This window comes from Homo sapiens, chromosome 5, assembly GCF_000001405.40.
Source record: "Homo sapiens chromosome 5, GRCh38.p14 Primary Assembly".
NCBI lineage: Eukaryota > Metazoa > Chordata > Mammalia > Primates > Hominidae > Homo > Homo sapiens.
This window is the reverse complement of record NC_000005.10, coordinates 45823379-45850096: the sequence shown is the minus strand read 5'-3', so window position 1 is coordinate 45850096 and position 26718 is coordinate 45823379. Positions and strand designations below refer to the sequence as shown.

General features: G+C 36.7%; 2 annotated features.

Moving 5' to 3' along the window:
- Positions 1282-2028: an enhancer, noted in NCBI's record as "H3K27ac hESC enhancer chr5:45848171-45848917 (GRCh37/hg19 assembly coordinates)". NCBI's record gives its function as "activates a minimal SCP1, AML or CMV promoter by ChIP-STARR-seq in primed H9 embryonic stem cells {active_cell/tissue: H9 hESC(primed)}" and the evidence as "EXISTENCE:reporter gene assay evidence [ECO:0000049][PMID:30033119]".
- Positions 2029-2775: an enhancer, noted in NCBI's record as "H3K27ac hESC enhancer chr5:45847424-45848170 (GRCh37/hg19 assembly coordinates)". NCBI's record gives its function as "activates a minimal SCP1, AML or CMV promoter by ChIP-STARR-seq in primed H9 embryonic stem cells {active_cell/tissue: H9 hESC(primed)}" and the evidence as "EXISTENCE:reporter gene assay evidence [ECO:0000049][PMID:30033119]".

Genomic DNA, 26718 nt, shown 5'->3' with positions numbered 1-26718 from the left:
TGCTTTCCATTTGCTTGTTAAATATTCTCCCATCCCTTTATTTTGAGCCTATGTTTGTCTTTGCAGATAAAGCAGGTCTCCTGAATACAGCACACCGATGAGTCTTGACTCTTTATCCAATTTGCCAGTCTGTGTCTTTTAATTGGGGCATTTAGCCTGCTTACATTTAGGCTTAATATTGTTATGTGTGAATTTGATCCTATCATTATGATTCTAGTGGTTATTTTGCCCATTAGTTGATGCAGTTTCTTCATAGTGTCAATGGACTTTGCAATTTGGTATGTTTTTGTGGCGGCTGGTACCCCTTTTTCCTTTCCATATTTAGTGCTTCCTTCAGGAGCTCTTGTAAGGCAGGCCTAGTGGTGACAGAATCTCTCAGTATTTGCTTGTTTGTAAAGGATTTTATTTCTTCTTCAATTATGAAGCTTAGTTTGACTGGATATGAAATTCTGGGTTGAAAATCTTTTCTTTAATAATTTTGAACATTGGCCTTCAATCTCTTCTGGCTTTTATGGTTTCAGCAGAGAGATTAGCTGTTAGTCTGATGGGCTTCCCTTTGTGGGTAACCAGACCTTTGTCTCTGGCTGCCCTTAACATTTTTTCCTTCATTTCAACCTTGGTGAATCTGATAATTATGTGTTTTAGGGTTGCTCTTCTCGAGGAGTTTCTTTGTGGTGTTCTCTGTATGTCCTGAATTTGAATGTTGGCTTGCCTTGTGAGGTTGTGGAAGTTCCCCTGAATAATACCCTGACAACTGTTTTCAAAATTGTTTCCATTTTTCCCATCACTTTCAGGTGCACCAATAAAATGTAGATTTGGCCTTTTCACATAGTCCCATATTTCTTGGAGGCTTTGTTTGTTCCTTTTTATTCTTTTTTCTCTAATTTTGTCTTCACCCTTTATTTCGTTAAGTTGATCTTCAATCTCTGATATCCTTTCTTCCACTTGATTGATTCAGCTATTGATACTTGTGTATACTTCAGAAAGTTGTTGTGCTGTGCTTTTCAGCTCCATCAGGTCATTTATGTTCTTCTCTAAACTGGTTATTTTAGTTAGCAATTCTCTAACCTTTTTTCAAGGTTCTTAGCTTCCTTGCATTGAGTTAGAACGTGCTGCTTTAGCTCAGAGGAGTTTGTTATTACCCACCTTCTGAAGCCTACTTCTGTCAATTCGTCAAACTCATTCTCTGTCCAGTTTTGTTCCCTTGCTGGCATGGAGTTGTGATCCATTGGAGGAGAAGAGACATTCGGGTTTTTGGAATTTTCAACTCTTTTGCGCTGGTTTTTTCTCATTTTCATGGATTTATCTACCTTTGGTTTTTGATGTTGGTGAGCTTTGGATGGAGTTTTTGTGTGGATGTCCTTTTGGTTGATATTGCTGTTATTTCTTTCTGTTTATTAGTTTTCCTTCTAACAGGCCTCTCTGCTGCATGTCTGCTGGAGTTTGCTGGAGGTCCACTCCAGACCATGTTTTCCTGTATCACCAGTGGAGGCTGCAGAACAGCAAAGATTGCGGCCTGTTCCTTCCTCTGGAGTCTTTGTCCCAGAGAGGCACCCACAAGATGCTGGCTGGAGCTCTCCTGTATAAGGTGTCTGTTGACCCCTGCTGGGAGGTGTCTCCCAGTCAGGAGACACAGGATTCAGGGACCCACTTGAGGAGGCAGTCTGTCCCTTAGCAGAGATCAAGCATTGTGCTGGGAGATCCATAGAGCTGGCAGGCAGGAACATCTAAGTCTGCTGAACCCGCACCCACAGCCACCCCTTCCCCCAGATGCTCTGTCCCAGGGAGATGGGAGTTTTATCTATAAGCCCCTGACTAGGGTTGCTGCCTTTCTTTCAGAGATACCCTGCTCAGAGAGGAGGAATCTAGAGGCAGTCTGACTACAGAGGATTTGTGGTGCTGCAGTGGGCTCTGCACAGTAAGAACTTCCTGGCTGCTTTGTTTACACTGTGAGGGGAAAACAGCCTACTCAAGCCCCTCCCCCCACCTAGCTCCAGTATCCTAGCTTGACTTCAGACTGCTGTGCTGGCAGTGAGAATTTCAAACCAGTGGATTTTAGCTTGCTGGGCTCCGTCAGGGTGGGATCTGCTGAGCTAGGCCCCTTGGCTCCCTGACTTCAGCCCACTTCCCAGGAGAGTGAATGGTTCTGTCTCACTGGTGTTCCAGGCGCCCTTAGGGTATGGAAAAAAAAAACTGCAGCTAGCTCGGTGTCTGCCCATATGGCCGCCAAGCTTTGTGCTTGAAATCCAGGGCCCTGGTGGTGTACATACCTTAGAGAATCTCCTGGTCTGCAGGTTGCAAAGACCATGGGAAAAGCATAGTATCTGGGCTGGAGTGCACCATTCCTCATGGCACAGTCCCTCATGGCTTCCTTTGGCTAGGGGAGGGAGTTCCCTGATCACTTGTGCTTTCATGGTGAGGCAACACCCCACCCTGCTTCTGTTCTCCCTCTGTGGGCTGCACCCATTGTCTAACCAGTCCCAGTGAGATAAGCTGGGTGCCTCAGTTGGAAATGCAGACATTACCCACCTTCTGCGTTAATCTTGCTGGGAGCTGCAGACTGGAGCTGTCCCTATTTGGCCATCTTGCCAGCCACCCTGTTACCAGAATTCTAAGTGTGAGTTAAAAAAACTTAGGAAATAGTATCATATCATTTTTACACAGTTTTTCCTCTAATTACTATGTAAATATAGTACAATTTCAATTCTAATTCTAACAAGGCAGTTTACAAAATTTGAAAATCTGATTCTCAGGTTCATTTGAAAGAAAAATAGTATTCAATGTTTATAAATTTGGTTAGTGTTATCCTACAAGAAATCAATTTATATTATAAAGTTAGAGTTATTGAAAGAGTATGGTTTTGGCACAAAAATAGACAAGTAGATACTGAAAAAAAATCAAAAGTGCATCTCTATGTACTTTTGAGATTTAGCCTGTGGTGAAGTCAGTAATTGATATAAATACAGAAAAGATAGCTTATTCAATGTACGGTGTTGAGTAACAGCTCTTTGGGAAATAAACTTTTATTTCATTAGCAAAGGTAAATTAAAATAATTAAAGCTAGTAAAGGGTATAAAAATTAAATTACTAGAATGAATATGAATGGGAACATTTTTGTGGCATTAATGGAGTCTTTTTTTGTCACCTTACAGATCTTGTAGCAGCCTCCTTTATGCCCAGCATGCCTTATGCCCATTATTTTACTTTATTTCAATCTGTAACTCTCATCTCCATCTGATATCATATATTTGTTTATTGTATGTCTCTTTTAACTACAGTATAAATTCCAGAATGCAGAGATAGTGTTCACTTAGTTTTATTTGCAGTATCCCCAGTACTTTGAAAAATGTCTGGCATTATATAAGTACTCAAATTTCTTGAGTAAAAGAATGACTTATTACGACTATTGAGAACATATTTTCATGCTGATAACTTTAGTCTTTGAAACAGAAATACAAACTTATATAATGGAATATAAAAATTATGTGTTTAGCTTGCATAGGAGATATTAAACTTCTGATTAAAACTCCATACTTTCATTTGTAAATTAGGAAACAAAAAGTGTTTTTCTTCACCACGCTTTGCAACACTACCCTTTTCAACATATAAAGCATTCTTTTGAAAATAAAGTTTTGAAGAAAAGAAAAGGCATAATGTTTCATCTCACATATGCAAAAATAGCTGCCTAATGATGTTGCCTCTTTGTAAAATGGCATTGGCAATAAAAAATCATTATTTTGGAAGATCAAAATATTGTATTATTGTAACCATTTCTGATTCTTGCACCATCTCAATTGGAATCTTTATTTTATCTATTATTTTTTTAAAATTTCCAAATATGTATTCTTACCTCATCTTTAATTATAGACTGTTGTTACTTATTTTAAGTTGATTTCAAATGGGAACAAATTCTTTCCTGCTTTTTGCAAAGTGCGTTAACAATAAATTATGACTTGGCTTATAACAAATGAAACAACTTGCAAGGAAAAATAGTCAAAAATTGATTTACAAAATAATGCTCATAAACATCAAAGGATAGGCTCATTAATTAATTAGTGGGTTTAAAACAAACATTTCATAATTGCATTTGAAACATTACAATCTCCCACATCTTGATTCTTAACTTCCAAAAAAGATTCAATGAGTTGGTTGCATGTAAAATGAAGATGATTCAAATTTCATTAATTTGCAGCTTTGTAATACATTAATAGACTACTGTTGCCAATGAGTTCCTATACTTTATTTTCCTTAATTCACAAGAAAACCTTAGAATTTTTTGAAAGAGTGTGAGTGTGAAAGGATTATCTATGATTTAAAAGTTCAATAGTTACGTTATATCAGGTAAACTATACTTGATAAAGGAAATATGAACGACACTATTCAAGATAAGATTATAGATGTATTGGAGGTTTTTTTCGACAATGATTGGGTTTCTGTAGGCAAACAGTTTATACCAACAATGCCTGGAAGAGATTTAAGCCTACTGTTGGACAGGCTATGTGGCTAGGAAATAACTTTAGTTATAATCTTAAAAAGAGCAACAAATTATAGTTCTCATAAGTAAAAATTTTCAAGTGAAAAGAAAAAAGCAAATAAAAAATTATGTTTGAAGACTTTCAATGAGTATAATATTGACATTATCTATTTCATAGGCATATACTTTTAGAAGAAAATTAAATATCTAATAATGTTACTTAAGACTCATCATTTGTAATTTAAACTTTCCTTTGTATCATTTTTAACACTTTAAAAATGTTTAACTTAAAAATATTTTGATCATTTTTCTCTAACCTGGTGTCATATTTATACAGCTATTGAGAGTATGCTTTCAGACTAACCTACTTTTTGGAGGCCTTGCTAATGTTTCATTGATTCTATATGAAGCTACCATTGACATTTTGTTGATGCTATGTAAAACCAAGAGCAACCTTATTTTTTGAATGCAGAGGAATCCCTTCTCCTCGAAATAATGGAAACCTAAAAGAATATGTATTTTTTTCCCATTCTAATAGTTGTAGCAAAAAAAAAGATTTTTTTTTTGTATTTGGATATACTAAAAAGAAACTAGATCAAGGCAAGTGATCTGAATTCATTTTCTAAAGGTAAAATGGTCAAAGCCAATCACTCTTTATCTTATAGTAATAATTATATTAAATACTGGAATTAATAAAAAATTAATTAGTTTTGACATTTTTACTTTGTCTTTTATTTGTCAGTACATAGCTTAAATACTCCTAAAACATACAGGAACTCAAAGATTTGTGTTTATTTGGAAGGTGGTCATTGGAAGCACAAGTGAGGCAATGGGAAAGTTAGAGAGGAAATGGAGGAAAGCCTTCAAGAGCACATTGATAAGCAGCTTAGTTATTGAACAAGGATTTCATCTTTTTGGGAACTATTTAAAGAACTATGTAGAATTGACCTTAGACTTGGCCCCCAACCTGCAGTTATGCTACAGTATTTATCTGTCATTAGGGTCAATCTATGATTGAGAGCATTCCCTGGGATATAAAATTTTCAACAGTTTTAGGCTGTGCTGTGTGCAAGATATGCAGAGAGTTACTGTTAATAAAATGGCAATTCGTCAGTGTGCCTAATCACCATTGGTGTCAGTGAATCTTAATGGTAGAAAAGTTGTTTTTGCCTTTTCCTATGCCATAACCTGTAAATACATCTGAGTCATTCACACAACTTAATAGAGACCAATATAGCCCACCTTAGGTGGCTATATTTAAGAGACTCAACAGTCTCTTAAATTCCTAAAACTATAGTTTTATCTTATATGCTAGGATTTTCCATCATTCTTCTGATCTCATGGTTCCATCACAGTGTATGCTTCGTGTCATTCTTGTTGTTGTACTACTGATCCATTGGCCTCATTTTCCAGATTCACTTTTGCCTCTCACTCCCCTACTTAGCTCATTATCTTCCTCTTTTTGATTTTGTTGTCATTCGTGGAACATTGTTAACTTCTGTTCTCTGCTCTCATCTCCACAGGAAGTAAGATCGGGTAACTCCCATTTCCCATTATATTTGTGTGTCCCATTATGAGATTTCCCATAATACTGAGAAAAGTCTAACTTAAATCAAGACAAAACAATATTACCCCATTAAGAGTAAACATTCCTATTTCATCTTGATGAGTAAATTAATCTAGTATTAATTATCAAATAACTTTATTCTAAATATGTAATCAAAACTTACAGCTGGCCTGGTTGTCATCTCAATAAGTATAGGAAAGCAATGACTTTGCATTTCACTCAATAACAGCGAAAGAATATTTGCATTAATACGTATTTAAATTTGGCTCATAGTATTTTTGAGAAATTCATGTTTTCCCCCAAGTCTTGAATGAGCTCATAATGCAATTTTATTCCAAACATTTTAAATAAAATAAAAACATGATTGAAGGCACATGACATAATATACTGAGTGATTAATAACATTTGCTTAGCATTTCCTAAAGTAAATTATGCTGAGATTGAATTCAATGATTCAAGAAGTCTTATTAGAGCAACTTAAAGTGTCCCAAAATTGATACACTATATTTTATTTGCACAGAAAATTAAATCTACAATTTCTTCTCTCTTGAAATCTCAACTTTCTGAAGGAAAATGCATAGGCAAGAATACAGGGAAAGTGCTTTTTCTTAAATTACACAAAAATTCTTTTTAAATTATTTTGTGAACATTTGGTTATTATAAATTTTAAAGTGTGTTGCAGTTGGAATAAAAACATTAAATGAAAATAATTTTTATATAATAATTTTCCACTTAGGGACAGTGACAAATATTTTTGTGCTATTAAGAGCAAAACTCTTTTATTGAAAGGAAAAGTAGTATTCATGGTTTTAATTTGGCAGTGCAAATGTATCAACCAACTACTCGTGTTGCTTCTTTTCACCAGGGTAAATACAATACCTAAAGATGGAATTGGGTTCTCCTTTCTTGAGTCCAAAATATACACTGATAAACAGTTACAAAGTATTAGGTGAAATATTTGGCAGACACCAAAAGTACCAAAGACAGAAAGCTATACTAACTAGACAAGGAAAATAATAATTTAAACCTCTTTATTCTCAGGACATTTTCACAGCTATAAGGATTTTAAAGTAGGAAATATTAATGAAATATAATTTGTACTAGTTACTCATTAAAAAGACATGAAAGATGAGAGCAAGAGTTTGGGCTTATTAAGGAACAACATAACATTCTAAAGAATAGTTTTGCCTTGAGAAAACTTCTGATTATAATAAAGAACATGGTTTTGAGTAAGTATTAACATTATTAGAATTTTTACGCAGAGTTCTGGGAAAATAACTACCAAATCATCAATACCAATTCTCATTCATCCCTGACAAAAATGATAGTAAGCTCCATAATAGATTTTATCTTGCCAACTTATCTTCTATCAAAACATGATAAAGCAATACAAAATATTTTTAAAACCATATACCAGTTCCCTGGAATATAGACACAACATTTACATAAAAGCTTATCAAATAAAATTGAAAAAGCAAGAGAAATAAATAAAAGGCATCCAAATAGGAAGAGAGGAAGTCAAACTATCTCTCTTTGCAGTCAATATGACTCTATACCTAGAAATCCTTGTAGTCTCTGCCCAAAGGCTCCTAGATCTGATAACAACTTCAGCAAAATTTCAGGACACAAAATCAATGTACAAAAATTAGTAGCATTTCCATACACCAGTAACACCCAAGCAGAGAGACAAATCAAGTACTCAATCTCATTTACAATAGCCACCGAAAGAATAAAATACCTAGGAATGCAGCTAACCAAGGATGTGAAAGATCTCTACAATGAGAATTACAAAACACTGCTGAAAGAAATTAGAGATGACACAGATGGAAAAGCATTCCATGCTCATGGATCTGCAGAATCAATATTGTTAAAATGATCATACTACCCAAAGCAATTTACAGATTCAATGCTATTCCTATCAAACTATCAATGTCATTTTTTACAGAATTAGAAAAAACTTTTTAAAAATTCATATGGAACCAAAAAGAGCCTGAGTAGCCAAAGAAATTCTAAGCAGAGAGAACAAAGCTGAAGGCATCACACTACCTGACTTCAAATTATACGACAAGGCTACAGGAATTAAAACAGCATGACACGGGCACAAAACAGACACATAGACCAATGGAACAGGTTAGAAACACAGAAATAAAGTCACACAACTACAGCCATCTGATCTTTGACAAAACTGACAATAACAATCAATGGGGAAGGGACTCTGCGTTCAATAAATGGTACTGGGACAACTGGCTAGCCATATGCAGAAGATTGAAACTTGATGCCTAACTTTCACCATATACAAAAATCATCTGAAGATGAATTAAAGACTTAAACTCAAAACGTAAAACTATAAAAATGTTAGAAGAAAACCTAGGAAATGCCATTCTGGAAAAGGACCCTGGCAAAGACTTCATGATGACTCCAAGAGCAATTTCAACACAAACAAAAATTGACAAGTGGCACCAATTAACTAAAGAGCTTCTGCACAGTAGAAGAAACTATCAACAGAGTGAAAAGATGACCTAAGGAATGGGAGCAAATATTTGCAAACTATGCATCCAACAAAAGTCTAATATCCAGCATCTACAAGGAACTTAAATCAACAAGCAGAAAACAAACAACCCCATTAAAAATGAAAAAAGACATGAACAAACACTTCTCAAAAGAAGACACACACATTTTCAACAAGAATATGAAAATAAATGCTCAGTATCACTAATCATTAATTAGGGGAACACAAATCAAAACAACAATGAGATAACATCTCACACTAGTCAGAATGGCTATTATTAAAAAGTCAAAAAGCAAAGGAGCACTTACACACTGTTGGTGAGAATGTAAATTAGTTAAGCCACTGTGGATATCACTCTGGAGCTTTCTTAAAGAATGTAAAATAGTACTAGCATTCCACTCAGCAATCCCATTACTGGATATATATCCAAAGGAATATAAATTATTTAACCATGTGGACACATGCACACGGATGTTCATTGCAGCACTATTCACACTAGCAATTACATAGAATAAACCTAGGTGCCCACCAACAGTGGACTGGATAAAGAAAATGTGGTACCTACACACTGGACTACTACACAGCCATAAAAAAGGAAATCCTCTTTTTGTAGCAACATGGATGAAATTAGAGGCAAATTAATCCTAAACAAATTAATGCAGGAACAAAAAACTAAATATTGCATGTTCTCAGTGGGAGCTAAACATTGAATACATATGGACACAAAGAGAAAAACAGATTCCTGGACCTACTTGAAGGTAGAGAGTGGGAGGAGGGTGAGGATTGAAAAACTACCTATTGGACATTATGCCGATCACCTGGTTGACAAAATTATCTGTACACTAAACCCCCATAACATGCAATTTAGCCATGTAGAAAACCTGCATATTACTCCTTTAATCTAAAATAGACATTGGAAAGAAAATTTAAAAAAATTGAAAAAAATATCCCTCTCAGGAGGGCATAAGGACCTAGTAGGTAGATATTAGGTTTGGTGAGAAGAATCCTGGAACAGAGTGTGGGGCTTTCAAGTTGTATAATAAGAGAGCGCTAACCTCCCTCAGCACAATCAGAAGGTGAAGCTGGAGTTCATACTTATTGTTGCAATTGTATGATATGGTAGAACCTTAGCCTACAGTCTGTTCTGCTCCCTCAAATTAACACCTGAAGGAGCGTCTGAATTGACAGTGTTAAACACTTGGCTACAGTACATTTCATTGGACATTTTGCAGGAGGCCATCTTCCTCCCAAAAAGACAAGTCATCAAATGACTAGACTTATACAAATCTATGCTGAGATCTGAAACCTGGTTAAAGAAAGTGTTTCAACTGTGTCAAATGTAGTCTATAAATTAAAAAAAAAAGGACTGAGAATAATTATGGAATTTAACAATATGAGGTCATTTGTCACCTCAAAATGAGCTATTTCAGTGAAGTAGTGAAGTCAAAGCTGGTTGAAGCCAGTTGGAGAGGATGGAGGGACAAGAAGTGGAAAAAAACAGTAGAGAAACTATTTGGAGGAATTTATTTGTGAAAGTGCTGTAATGGTTAATTTTATGTGTCAACTAGGATAAGAGATTCTTAGATAGCTGATAATACATTGTGCATATTTCTGGGTATGTCTCTGAGGGTGTAACTGTGAGTTGTCCATCAGGAGAGTTTAGCATTTGAATCAAAAGACTGAGTAAAGAAGAACGCCCTCATCAATGTGAGCAGACATCATCCAATCCATGAGGATCTGAATAGAACTAAAAGATGGAAGAAGAGCAAGTGTGCCCTCTCTCTTCTTGAGCTGAGATATCCACCTTCTCCTGGCCTTGGACATCAGAGTTCCTGGTTCGCTGGCCTCAGACTCCAGGACTAACACAAACTTCACCCCACCACCTCCTCACCCCTTACCCTCTACCTACTGGTTCTCAGGCCTTCAGTCTTGGATGGGGAGTTACATCATCAGCTCCCCTGGTTCTTGGCCACCAGACTAAGATTGAATTACACCACCAGCTTTCCTGATCCTCCAGTTTCAGGCAGCATATCCTGGGGCTTCTTGGCCTCCATAATCATGTGAGTCAATTCTCATAATAAATCTCCTCTTACACATGTTTATGTGTCCCATTGGTATTGTTTCTTTGGAGAACACTAATACAAAAACACATGAAATACTGTCGAATTTTCCTCCCTTCCTTCTTTCCTTCTTTCTTTTTTATAACAGGTAGTTCAGCTTATCTGTTTGTGATGAGAAGAATGTATTAGAGAGTGAGGAACTGGTAATTCAGGAGGAAGTGTGGACAACTACTAAAGTAATGTCTCTGAATAGATAAAAGGAGATAAGGTCAAGCAGGACAGTAGAGGAGCTGGTTCCTGACAGGAACACTGAGAACTTTTCAATAATAACTTGAGTAAAGACAGTAAAGTGCACCAAGGCAGATTGTTTGGTAGGCTTGGTCAGGTCATCCTGTGGAAATTCTTTGTTGATTGCTTTTGTTTTCTCAGTCAAATGGGAAAAAATGTTGTCACCTGGGATTGAGAAGAAGGAAGAGAGATTGGAATATGGAAACTTTAGGAAGCTGGTAATCAAATAAAATTAAATGTCTACTTGCAGAGAGTGATTTTCCATTCCTATTTTGTTCTTATTCAATGATTAGGACTATATAAGTTTTATTCTGATTTGAAATGATTCCTTAGTTAAAAAAATTGGATTTTCAGGAGGAGCCAAGATGGCCAAATAGGAACAGCTCCAGTCTACAGCTCCCAGCCTGAGCAACGCAGAAGACAGGTGATTTCTGCATTTCCATCTGAGGTACCGGGTTCATCTCACTACGGAGTGCCAGACAGTAGGTGCAGGTCAGTGGGTGCGCACACCATGCATGAGCTGAAGCAGGGTGAGGCATTGCCTCACTCGGGAAGTGCAAAGGGTCAGGGAGTTCCCTTTCCTAATCAAAGAAAGGGGTGACAGATGGCACCTGGAAAATCGGGTCACTCCCACCCGAATGCTGCACTTTTCTGACGAGCTTAAAAAAACGGCGCACCACGAGATTATATCCCGCACCTGGCTCGGAGGGTCCTACCCCACGGAGTCTCACTGATTGCCAGCACAGCAGTCTGAGATCAAACTGCAAGGCGGCAGTGAGGCTGGGGGAGGGGCGCCCACCATTGCCCAGGCTTGCTTAGGTAAATAAAGCAGCCAGGAAGCTCGAACTGGGTGGAGCCCACCACAGCTCAAGGAGGCCTGCATGCCTCTGTAGGCTCCACCTCTGGGGGCAGGGCACAGACAAACAAAAAGACAGCAGTAACCTCTGCAGACTTAAATATCCCTGTCTGACAGCACTGAAGAGAGCAGTGGTTCTCCCAGCATGCAGCTGGAGATCTGAGAAAGGGCAGACTGCCTCCTCCAGTGGGTCCCTGACCCCTGACCCCCGGGCAGCATAACTGGGAGGCACCCTCCAGCAGGGGCACACGGACACCTCACACTGCAGGGTACTCCAACAGACCTGCAGTTGAGGGTCCTGTCTGTTAGAAGGAAAACTAACAAACAGAAAGGACATCCACACCAAAAACCCATCTGTACATCACCATCATCAAAGAGCAAAAGTAGATAAAACCACAAAGATGGGGAAAAAACAGAACAGAAAAACTGGAAACTCTAAAAAGGAGAGCGCCTCTCCTCCTCCAAAGGAACGCAGCTCCTCACCAGCAACGGAACAAAGCTAGACGAAGAATGACTTTGATGATCTGAGAGAAGAAGGATTCAGATTATCAAATTACTCTGAGCTACAGGAGAACATTCAAACCAAAGGCAAAGAAGTTGAAAACTTTGGAAAAAATTTAGAAGAATGTATAACTAGAATAACCAATACAGAGAAGTGCTTAAAGGAGCTGATGGAGCTGAAAACCAAGGCTCGAGAACTACGTGAAGAATGCAGAAGCCTCAGGAACCGATGCAATCAACTGGAAGAAAGGGTATCAGCAATGGAAGATGAAATAAATGAAATGAAGCGAGAAGGGAAGATTAGAGAAAAAAGAATAAAAAGAGATGAGCAAAGCCTCCAAGAAATATGGGAATATGTGAAAAGACCAAATCAACGTCTGATTGGTGTACCTGAAAGTGATGTGGAGAATGGAACCAAGTTGGAAAACACTCTGCAGGATATTATCCAGGAGAACTTCCCCAATCTAGCAAGGCAGGCCAACGTTCAGATTCAGGAAATACAGAGAACGCCACAAAGATACTCCTCGACAAGAGCAACTCCAAGACACATAATTGTCAGATTCACCAAAGATGAAATGAAGGAAAAAATGTTAAGGGCAGCCAGAGAGAAAGGTCGGGTTACCCTCAAAGGAAAGCCCATCAGACTAACAGCGGATCTCTCGGCAGAAACCCTACAAGCCAGAAGAGAGTGGGGGCCAATATTCAACATTCTTAAAGAAAAGAATTTTCAACACAGAATTTCATATCCAGCCAAACTAAGCTTCATAAGTGAAGCAGAAATAAAATACTTTACAGACAAGCAAATGCTGAGAGATTTTGTCACCACCAGGCCTGCCCTAAAAAAGCTCCTGAAGGAAGCGCTAAACATGGAAAGGAACAACCGGCACCAGCCGCTGCAAAATCATGCCAAAATGTAAAGACCATCGAGACTAGGAAGAAACTGCATCAACTAATGAGCAAAATAACCAGCTAACATCATAATAACAGGATCAAATTCACACATAACACTATTAACTTTAAATGTACATGGACTAAATGCTCCAATTAAAAGACACAGACTGGCAAATTGGATAAAAAGTCAAGACCCGTCAGTGTGCTGTATTCAGGAAACCCATCTCACATGCAGAGACACACATAGGCTCAAAATAAAAGGATGGAGGAAGATCTACCAAGCAAATGGAAAACAAAAAAAGGCAGGAGTTGCAATCCTAGTCTGTGATAAAACAGACTTTAAACCAACAAAGATCAAAAGAGACAAAGAAGGCCATTACATAATGGTAAAGTGATCAATTCAACAAGAAGAGCTAACTATCCTAAATATATATGCACCCAATAGCAAATCCTGAGTGACCTACAAAGAGACTTAGACTCCCACACAATAATACTGGGAGATTTTAACACCCCACTGTCAACATTAGACAGATCAATGAGACAGAAAGTCAACAAGGATACCCAGGAATTGAACTCAGCTCTGCACCAAGTGGACCTAATAGACATCTACAGAACTCTCCACCCCAAATCAACAGAATACACATTTCTTTCAGCACCACACCACACCTATTCCAAAATTGACCACATAGTTGGAAGTAAAGCACTCCTCAGCAAATGTAAAAGAACAGAAATTATAACAAACTATCTCTCAGACCACAGTGCAATCAAACTAGAACTCAGGATTAAGAATCTCACTCAAAACCGCTCAACTACATGGAAACTGAACAACCTGCTCCTGAATGACTACTGGATACATAACGAAATGAAGGCAGAAATAAAGATGTTCTTTGAAACCAATGAGAACAAAGACACAACATACCAGAATCTCTGGGATGCATTCAAAGCAGTGTGTAGAGGGAAATTTATAGCACTAAATGCCCACAAGAGAAAGCAGGAAAGATCCAAAATTGACACCCTAACATCACAATTAAAAGAACTTGAAAAGCAAGAGCAAACACATTCAAAAGCTAGCAGAAGGCAAGAAATAACTAAGATCAGAGCAGAACTGAAGGAAATAGAGACACAAAAAACCCTTCAAAAAATTAATGAATCCAGGAGCTGGTTTTTTGAAAGGATCAACAGAACTGATAGACCGCTAGCAAGACTAATAAAGAAAAAAAGAGAGAAGATTCAAATAGATGCAATAAAAAATGGTAAAGGGGATATCACCACTGATCCCACAGAAATACAAACTACCATCAGAGAATACTACAAACACCTCTACGCAAAGAAACTAGAAAACCTAGAAGAAATGGATAAATTCCTTGACACATACACTCTCCCAAGACTAAATCAGGAAGAAGTTGAATCTCTGAATAGACCAATAACAGGCTCTGAAATTGTGGCAATAATCAATAGCTTACCAACCAAAGAGTCCAGGAGCAGATGGATTCACAGCTGAATTCTACCAGAGGTACAAGGAGGAACTGGTACCATTCCTTCTGAAACTATTCCAATCAATAGAAAAAGAGGGAATCCTCCCTAACTTATTTTATGAGGTCAGCATCATTCTGATACCAAAGCCGGGCAGAGACACAATCAAAAAAGAGAATTTTAAACCAATATCCTTGATGAACATTGATGCAAAAATCCTCAATAAAATACTGGCAAACCAAATCCAGCAGCACATCAAAAAGCTTATCCACCATGATCAAGTGGGCTTCATCCCTGGGATACAAGGCTGGTTCAATATACGCAAATCAATAAATGTAACCCAGCATATAAACAGAGCCAAAGACAAAAACCACATGATTATCTCAATAGATGCAGAAAAGGCCTTTGACAAAATTCAACAACCCTTCATGCTAAAAACTCTCAATAAATTAGGTATTGATGGGATGTATTTCCAAATAATAAGAACTATCTATGACAAACCCACAGCCAATATCATACTGAATGGGCAAAAACTGGAAGCATTCCCTTTGAAAACTGGCACAAGACAGGGATGCCCTCTCTCACCACTCCTATTCAACATAGTGTTGGAAGTTCTGACCAGGGCAATTCGGCAGGAGAAGGAAATAAAGGGTATTCATTTAGGAAAAGAGGAAGTCAAATTGTCCCTGTTTGCAGGTGACATGATTGTATATCTAGAAAACCCCATTGTCTCAGCCCAAAATCTCCTTAAGCTGATAAGCAACTTCAGCAAAGTCTCAGGATACAAAATCAATGTGCAAAAATCACAAGCATTCCTATACACCAACAACAGACAAACAGAGAGCCAAATCATGAGTGAACTCCCATTCACAATTGCTTCAAAGAGAATAAAATACCTAGGAATCCAACTTACAAGGGATGTAAAGGACCTCTTCAAGGAGAGCTACAAACCGTTCCTCAAGGAAATAAAAGAGGATACAAACAAATGAAAGAACATTCCATGCTCATGGGTAGGAAGAATCAATATCGCAAAAATGGCCATACTGCCCAAGGTAATTTACAGATTCAATGCCATCCTCATCAAGCTACCAATGCCTTTCTTCACAGAATTGGAAAAAACTACTTTAAAGTTCATATGGAACCTAAAAAGAGCCCACATCGCCAAGTCAATCCTAAGCCAAAAGAACAAAGCTGGAGACATCACACTACCTGACTTCAAACTATACTACAAGGCTACAGTAACCAAAACAGCATGGTACTGGTACCAAAACAGAGATATAGATCAATGGAACAGAACAGAGCCCTCAGAAATAACGCCGCATATCTACAACTATCTGATCTTTGACAAACCTGACAAAAACAAGCAATGGGGAAATGATTCCCTATTTAATAAATGGTGCTGGGAAACCTGGCTAGCCATGTGTAGAAAGCTGAAACTGGATCCCTTCCTTACACCTTATACAAAAATCAATTCAAGATGGATTAAAGACTTAAACGTTAGACCTAAACCCATAAAAACCCTAGAAGAAAACCTAGGCATTACCATTCAGGACATAGGCATGGGCAAGGACTTCATGTCTAAAACACCAAAAGCAATGGCAACAAAAGACAAAATTGACAAATGGGATCTCATCAAACTATAGAGCTTCTGCACAGCAAAAGAAACCACCATCAGAGTGAACAGGCAACCTACAAAATGGGAGAAAATTTTCGCAACCTACTCATCTGACAAAGGGCTAATATCCAGAATCTACAATGAACTCAAACAAATTTACAAGAAAAAAAAAACAACCCCATCAAAAAGTGGGCAAAGGACATGAACAGACACTTCTCAAAAGAAGACATTTATGCAGCCAAAAAACACATGAAAAAATGCTCACCGTCACTGGCCATCAGAGAAATGCAAATCAAAACCACAATGAGATACCATCTCACACCAGTTAGAATGGCAATCATTCAAAAGTCAGGAAACAACAGGTGCTGGAGAGGATGTGGAGAAATAGGAACACTTTTACACTGTTGATGGGACTGTAAACTGGTTCAACCATTGTGGAAGTCAGTGTGGCGATTCCTCAGGGATCTAGAACTAGAAATACCATTTGACCCAGCCATCCCATTACTGGGTATATACCCAAATGACTATAAATCATGCTGCTATAAAGACACATGCACACGTATGTTTATTGTGGCATTATTCACAATAGCAAAGACTTGGAACCAACCCAAATGTCCAACAATGATAGACTGGATTAAGAAAATGTGGCACATATACACCATGGAATACTATGCAGCCATACAAAATGATGAGTTCATGTCTTTGTAGGGACATGGATGAAATTGGAAATCATCATTCTCAGTAAACTATTGCAAGAACAAAACACCAAACACCGCATATTCTCCCTCATAGGTGGGAATTGAACAATGAGAACACATGGACACAAGAAGGGGAACATCACACTCTGGGGACTGTTGTGGGGGGGAGGATGGGGGAGGGATAGCATTGGGAGATATATCTAATGCTAGATGACGAGTTAGTGGGTGCAGCGCACCAGCATATGTAACTAACCTGTACAATGTGCACATGTACCCTAAAACTTAAAGTATAATAATAAAAAAATAAAAATAAAAATAAAAAAAGGAAAAAAATAAAAAAAAATTGGATTTTCTTTTGAGATTCAGGAAACAGTGTGTCTTATGTTATTTTGGATCAATAGATAACTTTTGTTCTAATTTCTGATAGCAGTCACTCTTGACTTAAATATGTGTCAAATCCCTCAGTAACTAGTATCAAGGGCCAAGTAAACTAAGTGGCATGATTGTGGTGCAAAATAATGTGTGTTAAAGAAGAGAGAGAGAGAAAAAATCATCTAATTAAGGAAGATACAGAAAGATCTCTTAGAATAAATGGCATTTCAAATTTGATCCATAGTTATGAATGACATTGATAAAAGACATCATATATGAGAGAAATAGAGTGTTAAGTTAGAATCTTCAGAAGTGTGTATAATTAAAATTGTAGGAAAAGAAAAAGGTAAGAGGAGAGGTAAAGCCTTTGAGTTCATCGAGTTATTGAAACATTGCCTGGCTGTCAGGTACTCTGCTAAGCATTGAATAAATAAAAGAAAGCTCATATCTTCAAGGCATTCACAGCTCAATCAAGGAGAGACATAATTGGCTATCTCCCCCATGGCTGGAAATTTCTAGGTCAAGAGAGTCCCAAACATGTTTTAAAGGAGAGAGTAAAGAGCCAAGAGACTACTGAGAACATTATGTACTGTAATGTGTGCTGTTTAGTCCAAATAGATAGTTATTAGCACACAGACATGAAAAACCTGGCTATTTTTGTTGAATTTTTCTTAAGATTTGTTTCATTATGAACATGTAGAAACATCCTTTAATTTACTACTTTGAATATGTAACCTTTATTTCTGCTGACTCCATGTTTTCAGGACACAGTAGCTTTCCTAGCTTTGCTGTTGTGAAAGCTATATGCTTGATCTGTTGGGCTGATTATACCAGCTAGAAGTAACCTTTGAAATGTTGCCATTCAGTGGAGCATGAGGCCATTAAAAATGGAATTCTCTTAAGGCAAGCTGGAAACTATTGGCGAGTTGCATAGGTCATAACTACTATTAAACTTCATTTTCTTCTATAATAAAGAAGTTTCTTGTTACACAAATTTGTTACTGCTCTTAACCTGGTTTAAGACGTAACTCCATTAGCTGACTGTCTACATTTCCTTGACTGAATAATTCAAATAACAAAATTATTGTAAATTGAGTTTTCCTCTGTGGAACAATGCAAATAATTATTTTTGGAGTAATAACTGATATAAAGTACAGAGAAATCTTAAATTTGTCATTAAAAGAATATTGCAGGCATTTTAATTTGGATTAGCTCAGATTTTATGTATAACCATCCCCTTACCCCCATTCTGTGAGTTTCCTTAACATTTTCAGCTTGTCTAATTTTCATTTGGCAATCCTAATAGTGGAAAAGCCGGTATAAAGGATGGAACAGACCTCTTCTTTGCTTTTATGAGTTTTTGTCCTTAGGCATTGATGGCAGGGCAGCAAGTGTGTCTGAACTATGGTACAACTGGGCTCTTAGTGTAGTGCTCAAACTCAAACCCAAGACTTCAGGCTCCTAGTCCAATGCCTCACATGTAACTTAAGTATACACTGTTCTCACTAATGTAATGTATGCGTCTCCTTTATCAGGTTGGGGTATAAAAGTAAAATCACATCTATCTTAGTAAATTAAGTAACTGTGAAACTGTGAACTCCACCAACCCATCTCTTCGGAAATAACATTTTTCCCTCCTTCCTCAAATCAATTTGGTAACCTAGTGCTGTCATATTCTAAAAAATGTTATTTGGTGACAAAGTCATGAGCTCTAATTGCTGATCCAATTTCAGCTTAATTTGCAGGTGAGAAGGAAAACCTTTCTTATTGCCATGATCAGCTATGACCATTCATGCCACTCCGACACTGCAGACCTGGACTCTATATCTAAGCACTTTTCTTAAACAATTATTTCATTTATAGACCCAGGCAATATCCCCAGAGTGCTAGCGTGGCTGCAACAGGAGGAATTTGTATTGGTGTTAACCAGGCTTCTAGGGACAAAGTAGGTCCTGCTTTTGAGTGTGAGTCACTTGTTCAGAATCCCCTCACTCGTGAAGATACTAGGAACTTCTGTAGCTCCTAGTTTCTTCTGCCCCTGACCTTAGATTTGGTCACTTCAATTGATCAGAGATATTCCCTATTCCATTTTAAGATGCAATAGTCTGATGTTTAATTTCATTCCTTTTCTCATAGGCTACTTCTTGGTTTCCTATGTAATTTCTTTTTATATCTCATAGCAATCTTTAGTAGTTTCTTTCACTAAAATACAAATGTAACAAAACGAATAAAAGACAAAAACAGCAAAAAGCAAAAAAGAAAATATTGGAACTCCATCCCAGTACGGACACAGTGACACGTCAATATATTTGGAGTTGCAGCTTCTTTGAGGAATATAGTAAGAACTTATGTGCCTTTTTAAATGTCAAGGCAATCAATAAAAATGCAGGTCATAGAACAATTAAAGTTTTGATAATGCATTAATGATAGCAAAATAAAGACATATTTGTAAAGGAAGGAAATAAGTGAAATCTGTTACAAGTTTCAGAAATCTTACTCCCACCGCCGGCCTTTTTTGAACTTGGCATAACATAGGGAAGAGAAAATTTGAGTCTTACAAACTTAAATATACTTTATCAATGTCATGATGCATATTTAAATTATTACAAGGCAATGGATGTTTCTAGTCTAACTTTGACCATCGTTTATGTAATTCAAAAACTCCTTCTATTTGGCGTATTTCATTGGGGTGCAAATTATATAACTGAGAGGTCAGATAGGGAAATGCTTGATAGTAGAAGTTTTCAATTGTTCTCACTGCTGAACTATTAATATATAAGAAAATATCAAATAAAGCACTTATGGCACAAGCCCCTTGCTGTGAACCCAAAGTAAACCCCATATAATTCAAGTTTCAACATTCCTTATCAGAATTAATACAATAAATCAGATACAACTTGCAGTTCTTCAGAACAATGTAATTTGCAAATGTATTTAATTGAAATGCATTTATCCTTTGAAACAAAGGGCAGAGTTCAACTTGTAAAATAATGGGCAAATTAGATTAAGTAATAGGCCTCAGAGCATATGAAGTCAATAGTTGGAAGAGAACTGAGGAGTCCTAATACATGGTTCTTTTATTCAACCCTCCAATAATACTTTATCTTGTGTCTTTAATTACATAAAGATACTTTTGTGGTTTTGTTTTCTGCACAGAAATGTTCCCAAAGTTGGATTATCTGATTACTCTGTAGGCAAAGCTATAAATATATTAATTTAAAGAGAAAGAGTCACTTGAATTTTAAGATTGTGTTGGATTCACCAGATGTTAGAGAGTTTCTATGAAGATTACCAAGGGCATGACATTAAGCATCTAGTTGGTCAAGATACTAATCCACATATCCCTTTCTCTCAAAAAGCTGTTTGCAGGGAGGAAGGTAATCACATATGTGATTTAGGCAATTAAATTAAGTGAATAAACTAAAAAAAGTTTAGCGATTTTTTAAAAATTCACACACTAATAAAGGTCAGAGGTCAAATATCAATAATTTTTAAATTCTTAACAATGATAATGGTATATCTAATTCCCAAAAACACATTGATTCCAGGCTCTAAAATAAATGTGGTTTTTTAAATACCTCAAAACTTTCATATAATAGGTGAGAAAGCGATAATATATGACCTAATACATATCACTCCTGACAAAACGTTTTCAGAGACATTAAATCCATTTTTAAAATCTCTCCAAATGAAATAACATGAGATAACTACATTTAATTATGTAGAAATTGTCATGAGAAGAATTTCAAATATCTTTAGTTACAGGATTGGTTTAAGCTAGCAAAAACTTTTTTGGTATAATGCAAGCAAATATATTAAAATATATAAAACCATGATACCAGGGCCCACCATTGAATATTGACCATCCTGGGTTAAAGGGTAAGGGTCTTGTTTAAAATAAAAATACTCTTGGATGAGATATTAGTTTACAAGGAGTTTTCATGAGTAATATCTCCGCTATTCCTATAATAACCCTCTGATATAGGCATTTTTATTGTTCTTGTTTGTAACATGTAAATGTCTAGGATCAAAAATATTAAGAAAATGTTCCATGTCAACCAGTTAATTAGAACCTGATTCAAACCTAAGTATTTTGATTCAAGAACACCATAATAGAATCTATTACATTGTGAACCAATGCTATAAAATATGTGTCCTATGTACACACTATGTTCAATGCACTTCTATATACCTTCATGCACCTTTTATCAGAAATTAACAAATAATTCACATTAAAACAGTGTGTGTTTGTGTGTGTGTGTTGGGGGGTTGGAGATTATAAACTCAGTTGAAAATCTAATGAAAGCCAATGATTTCCCCTCCCAGGAAAATTCACGTATATACATATTATTCACACGTGGTTTCAATTAATTTCATGACCTCTTTCATGTCTCCCAAGATTAATAACCCCATTTTATAAAACCCTTCAAGTATGGACATCTTAGAATAGGATAAGTGGGACACAAATGCTTGAGGAGGCTTAGCCATATGGTGCACAGCTGTGAGGAAGCTGGAGCTTAGGAAGGAGAGGAGCTGTAGAAAGTGGTAGGAGGGCACCAAAGCTTGAGTCTCATGGTCATTTGTGTTCAAGGGTGTCTCTGCACATTCTGTCTTAAAATTTTGGGGGATAAGCTGCTCATAATCTTTTAGTTTCTCAAACTGAAGGTATTTTGATTTTCCCAATGTCTAGAATTTCTGTATTCTGATTATTCTATTGTGTGTCCACATTTCCCCGTGTCTCCTCCAATCATCAAAGACATATGAGTCATTCAGTGTTCCAGGAAGAAACCAGTGGCATGCTCACATTAGGAAAACTCAAGAAGTATCTTACCGGACCCTCTTAAAAAGTTTTGGACAGAGTATAGAAAATCCACAAAGAATAGTGCAGTATCTAAGGGTTAGTAACAGTGAGCTATTACTAACCTTGGATCTTGGGGGAGTGAAAGGGTGGAGTAATTATTAGTTTGGCAGTAGAAGAGTTGCGTGGAAACAATCTTAATTGATCAAAGGATCAATTAAGGGTCATTTAACTAAATAACCTGAACCCAGGCAAAATACCTGGGTTCAGATCATAGATATAATACTCAAAAATATCTATGGCTTTGGTCCCAGAACACTTCCATGCTGAGACAATCACTCAGTCTGGGGTCTATTAGAATAAATCCCCTGTCTTCCCGCTCAGACGCTTTGACTTCCTGCATGGTCTCCCCATTGGCCGGTGGAGGTCAGCGTGAAGCATGAGAGAATCATCAGCTGTGGCCTATTCAGGTCACTTCCCAAAAGCTAAAGCGAGTTAAGCCTAGATCCTAAGGGGCACGCAGAATATATCTAGCAAAACAAGCAAGAAAGCATGTACACACACACACACACACACACCACTTTTCTTGCTTCAGTCAAGTCCTGAGTATCATTTACTCAACGTAGAATTCAAGTTGCCTCTCTTTTTAGGAAGTCCTTCTTGATGCCCTGCCCCAGCTGTAGTTACAGGCTTTACACTGAAATGGCATTCTCTGTACTTTGAGTTGAGCTACTATGCAACTTGATTTGCCCTTCAGCCTTATGCAAATAATTATTTTTATACAGTTTTAGCTTCTTTATTAGTTAAGAAGAAATGCCTTAGACAAAATGGAGAGGCTTTGTTTTATACAGTGTAACTCTTTCCCAACACTTCAATAAGAGTTTGAGTAACAGACTGAGGGCTCTGAGAATTTGATTTTGCCTATTTTAATGTGGAGTATAATTACCAGTAATTTTTTCTTAAAGGACATATCCATCTTTATTCTTTCTTTCTTTATTTTTTTTTTTTTGCTTTGAAGCTCTCCTGACTAAAAAGCACTTTATCTGGATTGCTTAGATACTAATGTTTTCTTCTATGTTTTACGAAAACATTTTTTAATGCCTCTCAAACAATTTGTTCAACCTTTTAATTTTCTCAGGCATGGAAGACAGTCAGATGCATTCTAATTTTGATTTACATCCTATGCATAAATAAGATTAACATAGTACTTTTTTCACATATTAAGTTTTTTTTACTCATTTGATACATACTTTAATGTGAGATATTCATAAATAATTATAATCAAATATGGGACTTATTAAGTGTCTATAAGGGGATACAGTATACTACGTAAAATCAGAAGGGAAAGCTTATTTATTATTGGGGGCATGAAGAAAGGCTTTCTTGGTAGTTGTGCTGAGGAGTGTACAAACAGAGGCCTTTTGAGGTGGTTGTGACTAACCCAACCATCTGTAGAGACAAACAAGGTGATCCACCCTTCTTGTTCTACTCTGCTTCTCCTGAGGTCATATTTCTATTTACTTCCAGCACCTCAGATTCATAGACTGTCAGACTTAAGAGGAACCTAGTTCAACTCAGTGGTGATGAATGTGCTATCTAGGGAACAGCACTGGCCCCAAAATAAATAGCCAATTCAAGTCTAGTTTTGATTAGAAGCCAGATCTTTTGCCCCACTGATCAAGGTTCATGTTGCCTGCACACTGTCTTTGATGGAGATGTTCAGTTAACCTTAAGGAAACTGAGAATAAAGGTGCTGAAAGTGCTGACACTGCAGGGAATAGAGGAAGTAAATGTTTCAGAGAGATGACAAGAATAAATCTACAGTCCTGCCTTGTCTCTTAATACAAAAGCATAATCTGTTCAGATTCCAAACATGTTTCCGCCGGAAAGTATATTTTCAATCTTCTTGTAGATTGAAAATCTCAAGTCTAGAGATACTGTGAATGAAGAATAGGATTTAGGGCTGAATAGACAAACCAAACCTTTCAAAAGGAAAATAAAGAATTGCATATTATAGAAGTGGTAACACAAAGAAGCATAAAATACACAATTTAATATTGCTCTTGGATGGGAAATGTATGTTCCATACATGGCAGGGTTTTGACAAGTATTGAAAGCAATGTCTTATTTCCTAGTGATTGTAGATAATAAGCAAGGAAATTATTTATACCATAAAGTCCACACTGTAACTTAACTGGGACCATAGGTTAATGTTCATGAAAGTGGAAAAGGAGGCTGTATATAATATAGGAATAAATCTTTTTATAACATTTTCCTGCATCTACAAGAGAAAGCACTGCTCTCCTATTTTCACTAAGTCATTGGCATAACTTTTACTAAAAACTGAAGTGGTGTTTAATAACATCCTAGTGCTCTATAATGCAGAATTGTAAGATGAGTTAGAATGTTTGATTCAGGAAGTTCTCATCTTCATTTACGAACGTTTTACAGACTATACATTTTTCAGTTTTCCTTAGTTTTTAACCCATTGTTCTTTTTCTATTCCAGGATCCCAACCAGGCTATATTACATTTAGTTGTCATGTCTCCACTTCTTGCTTTTATGATTTCTTAGCATAAAATCCTTCTCTGTTGCTTAAGTTATTTTCAAATGTGCTTAACTGAAATAATGAGATAAACGTAGATAAAAAGTGTGAAGATCAGGATGACAAGAACAAAATTTCTTATATTTTATATTTCTATTACATCTGCCTCCCTAATTCTGTGCCTTGGCTTTCACTTCCTGATATTTTTAATATGAATTGAATTTACAAATCAATTTTAGTTTAGGGGTGCATTAATATTTTGAAACATAAGAAATGACATGTGAGGAAGCTGTACATGTGAGCAGGAAATCCCAAAAGAGGACCCCTTTCTTTGTGCCATGGAAACACAAGTTAACAATATTTAAGCATTTTATTGAATCTGCCAATTACATTTTAGCCTCTGTGCTCATTTAAAAGAATCACAGGAAAACAGGTAGCTTTTGCCAACATAGCTAACAAGACAGAATTAATACAGGAAATATTAACAACACTTTAAAGAACATCATAATTATGACATGATGTTCAAAGCAAAGATATGCTAAGGGAAGTATAAAATTAAGTGGGGAAATACTTTAAAAGAGATAATTACTTTCGGGGAATCTAGGATCAATTAAAATTGCTTGGAATATATACATATATAGTTTCAGTGTATATTATATATGAATGATTTTTCAAGGCTCTGGTGAAGAAAAGATGAATAATCTCTTTAAAAGGAGCTTATACTGTAGTGGGGGAGGGGGCATCACAGATGTATGCACAAATCATGAAAAGGCAGGTGTGAAAGGAAGTGCTGAGTGTGGGTTGAGTATGGAAGTGGCCACTCTCAATATTCTAAATTAGGTACTCTGAGGCCACTCTTAAATATTACTCCAGCCCAGCCCCGAGATCAGAAGAGCAAGGGAAGATAGAAGAACCAAAAGGCAGCCTGCAGGTAGGGGACATTTAAAGTCACAGCATATTGCCTGTGAAGAATGAATCTTGCTTCTTTCATGAGCATTACACCCACAGGGATCTACTAAACATCTTTGATGTTTAACGGAGCCTGTTAGCTTCACAATGCAAATGGTAAGGAAAATGACCAATTGGCTGTTTAAGAGAGCAAAGATGTATTGGTTTTTAGTCATTGTTGACTTCATTTTTAGTAATTGTTGACTTTGTAATAGAACTAAATGGCCAGTGAGTGGCCCAATTAGTTCTGATTCCCATTCTGTATTGTGTGTTTACATAAATTTCCCTGCTATTAGAGTTGACAAAGACAAGACAGACTATATGAACAGTAAGCTATGGTGACAGTCTCTTTCCAGTCATAGTAAAATATAAGATCTTAGTATCTTTTAACTGTGAGTTAACACATATGTATGTCTCTGAAAAGAAAACATTTTGTCGAACCTCAAGCATATAAAAAACACTCCATGCCACAGCCCAAAATAACAGTGGAGCCAGAAACTGTGTAAAGTTACAGCGAAGAAATCATTAGTGAACTAGAGAAAGCAATTATCTTAATCCCATTTGTTTACTTTCTTTACAACTCATTGGATCCCTACAGGAAGATTAAATGGAGTAGTGATGAGAGTTGGAGCATATTTGTATACAATTTGGATTGATTTTCCTTATGTAGAAGTGGCTAAAATTGTTACAGCATTATTTAAAATAGTTTTTAAAATAAATTTAAGATAATATAATTCAATATACCATTGCACAGAGGGTTTTTATTTTCTATGTAAGAGAAGAAAACGAGTGGATATCTGTTTTGCTTATTTGGTTTTGTTTGTTTGTTTTTGTTTTTGTTTTTGTTTTTGTTTTGAGATGGAGTCTCGCTCTGTCGCCCAGGCTGGAGTGCAGTGGCGCGATCTCGGCTCACTGCAAGCTCCGCCTTCTGGGTTCATGCCATTCTCCTGCATCAGCCTTTAAGTTTTCACAAAATATAAATTCTCCTGAATAAATGCAGGGTATTCAATGTATTCAAATATAAGAGGCTCATGTAGTTCATTCAAAAGGAATTGAGCTTAGAATGAAATTGAACATGTCAAAATAAGTTTTCCCATTAGGCATCTAAAAGTGTACTCTATAT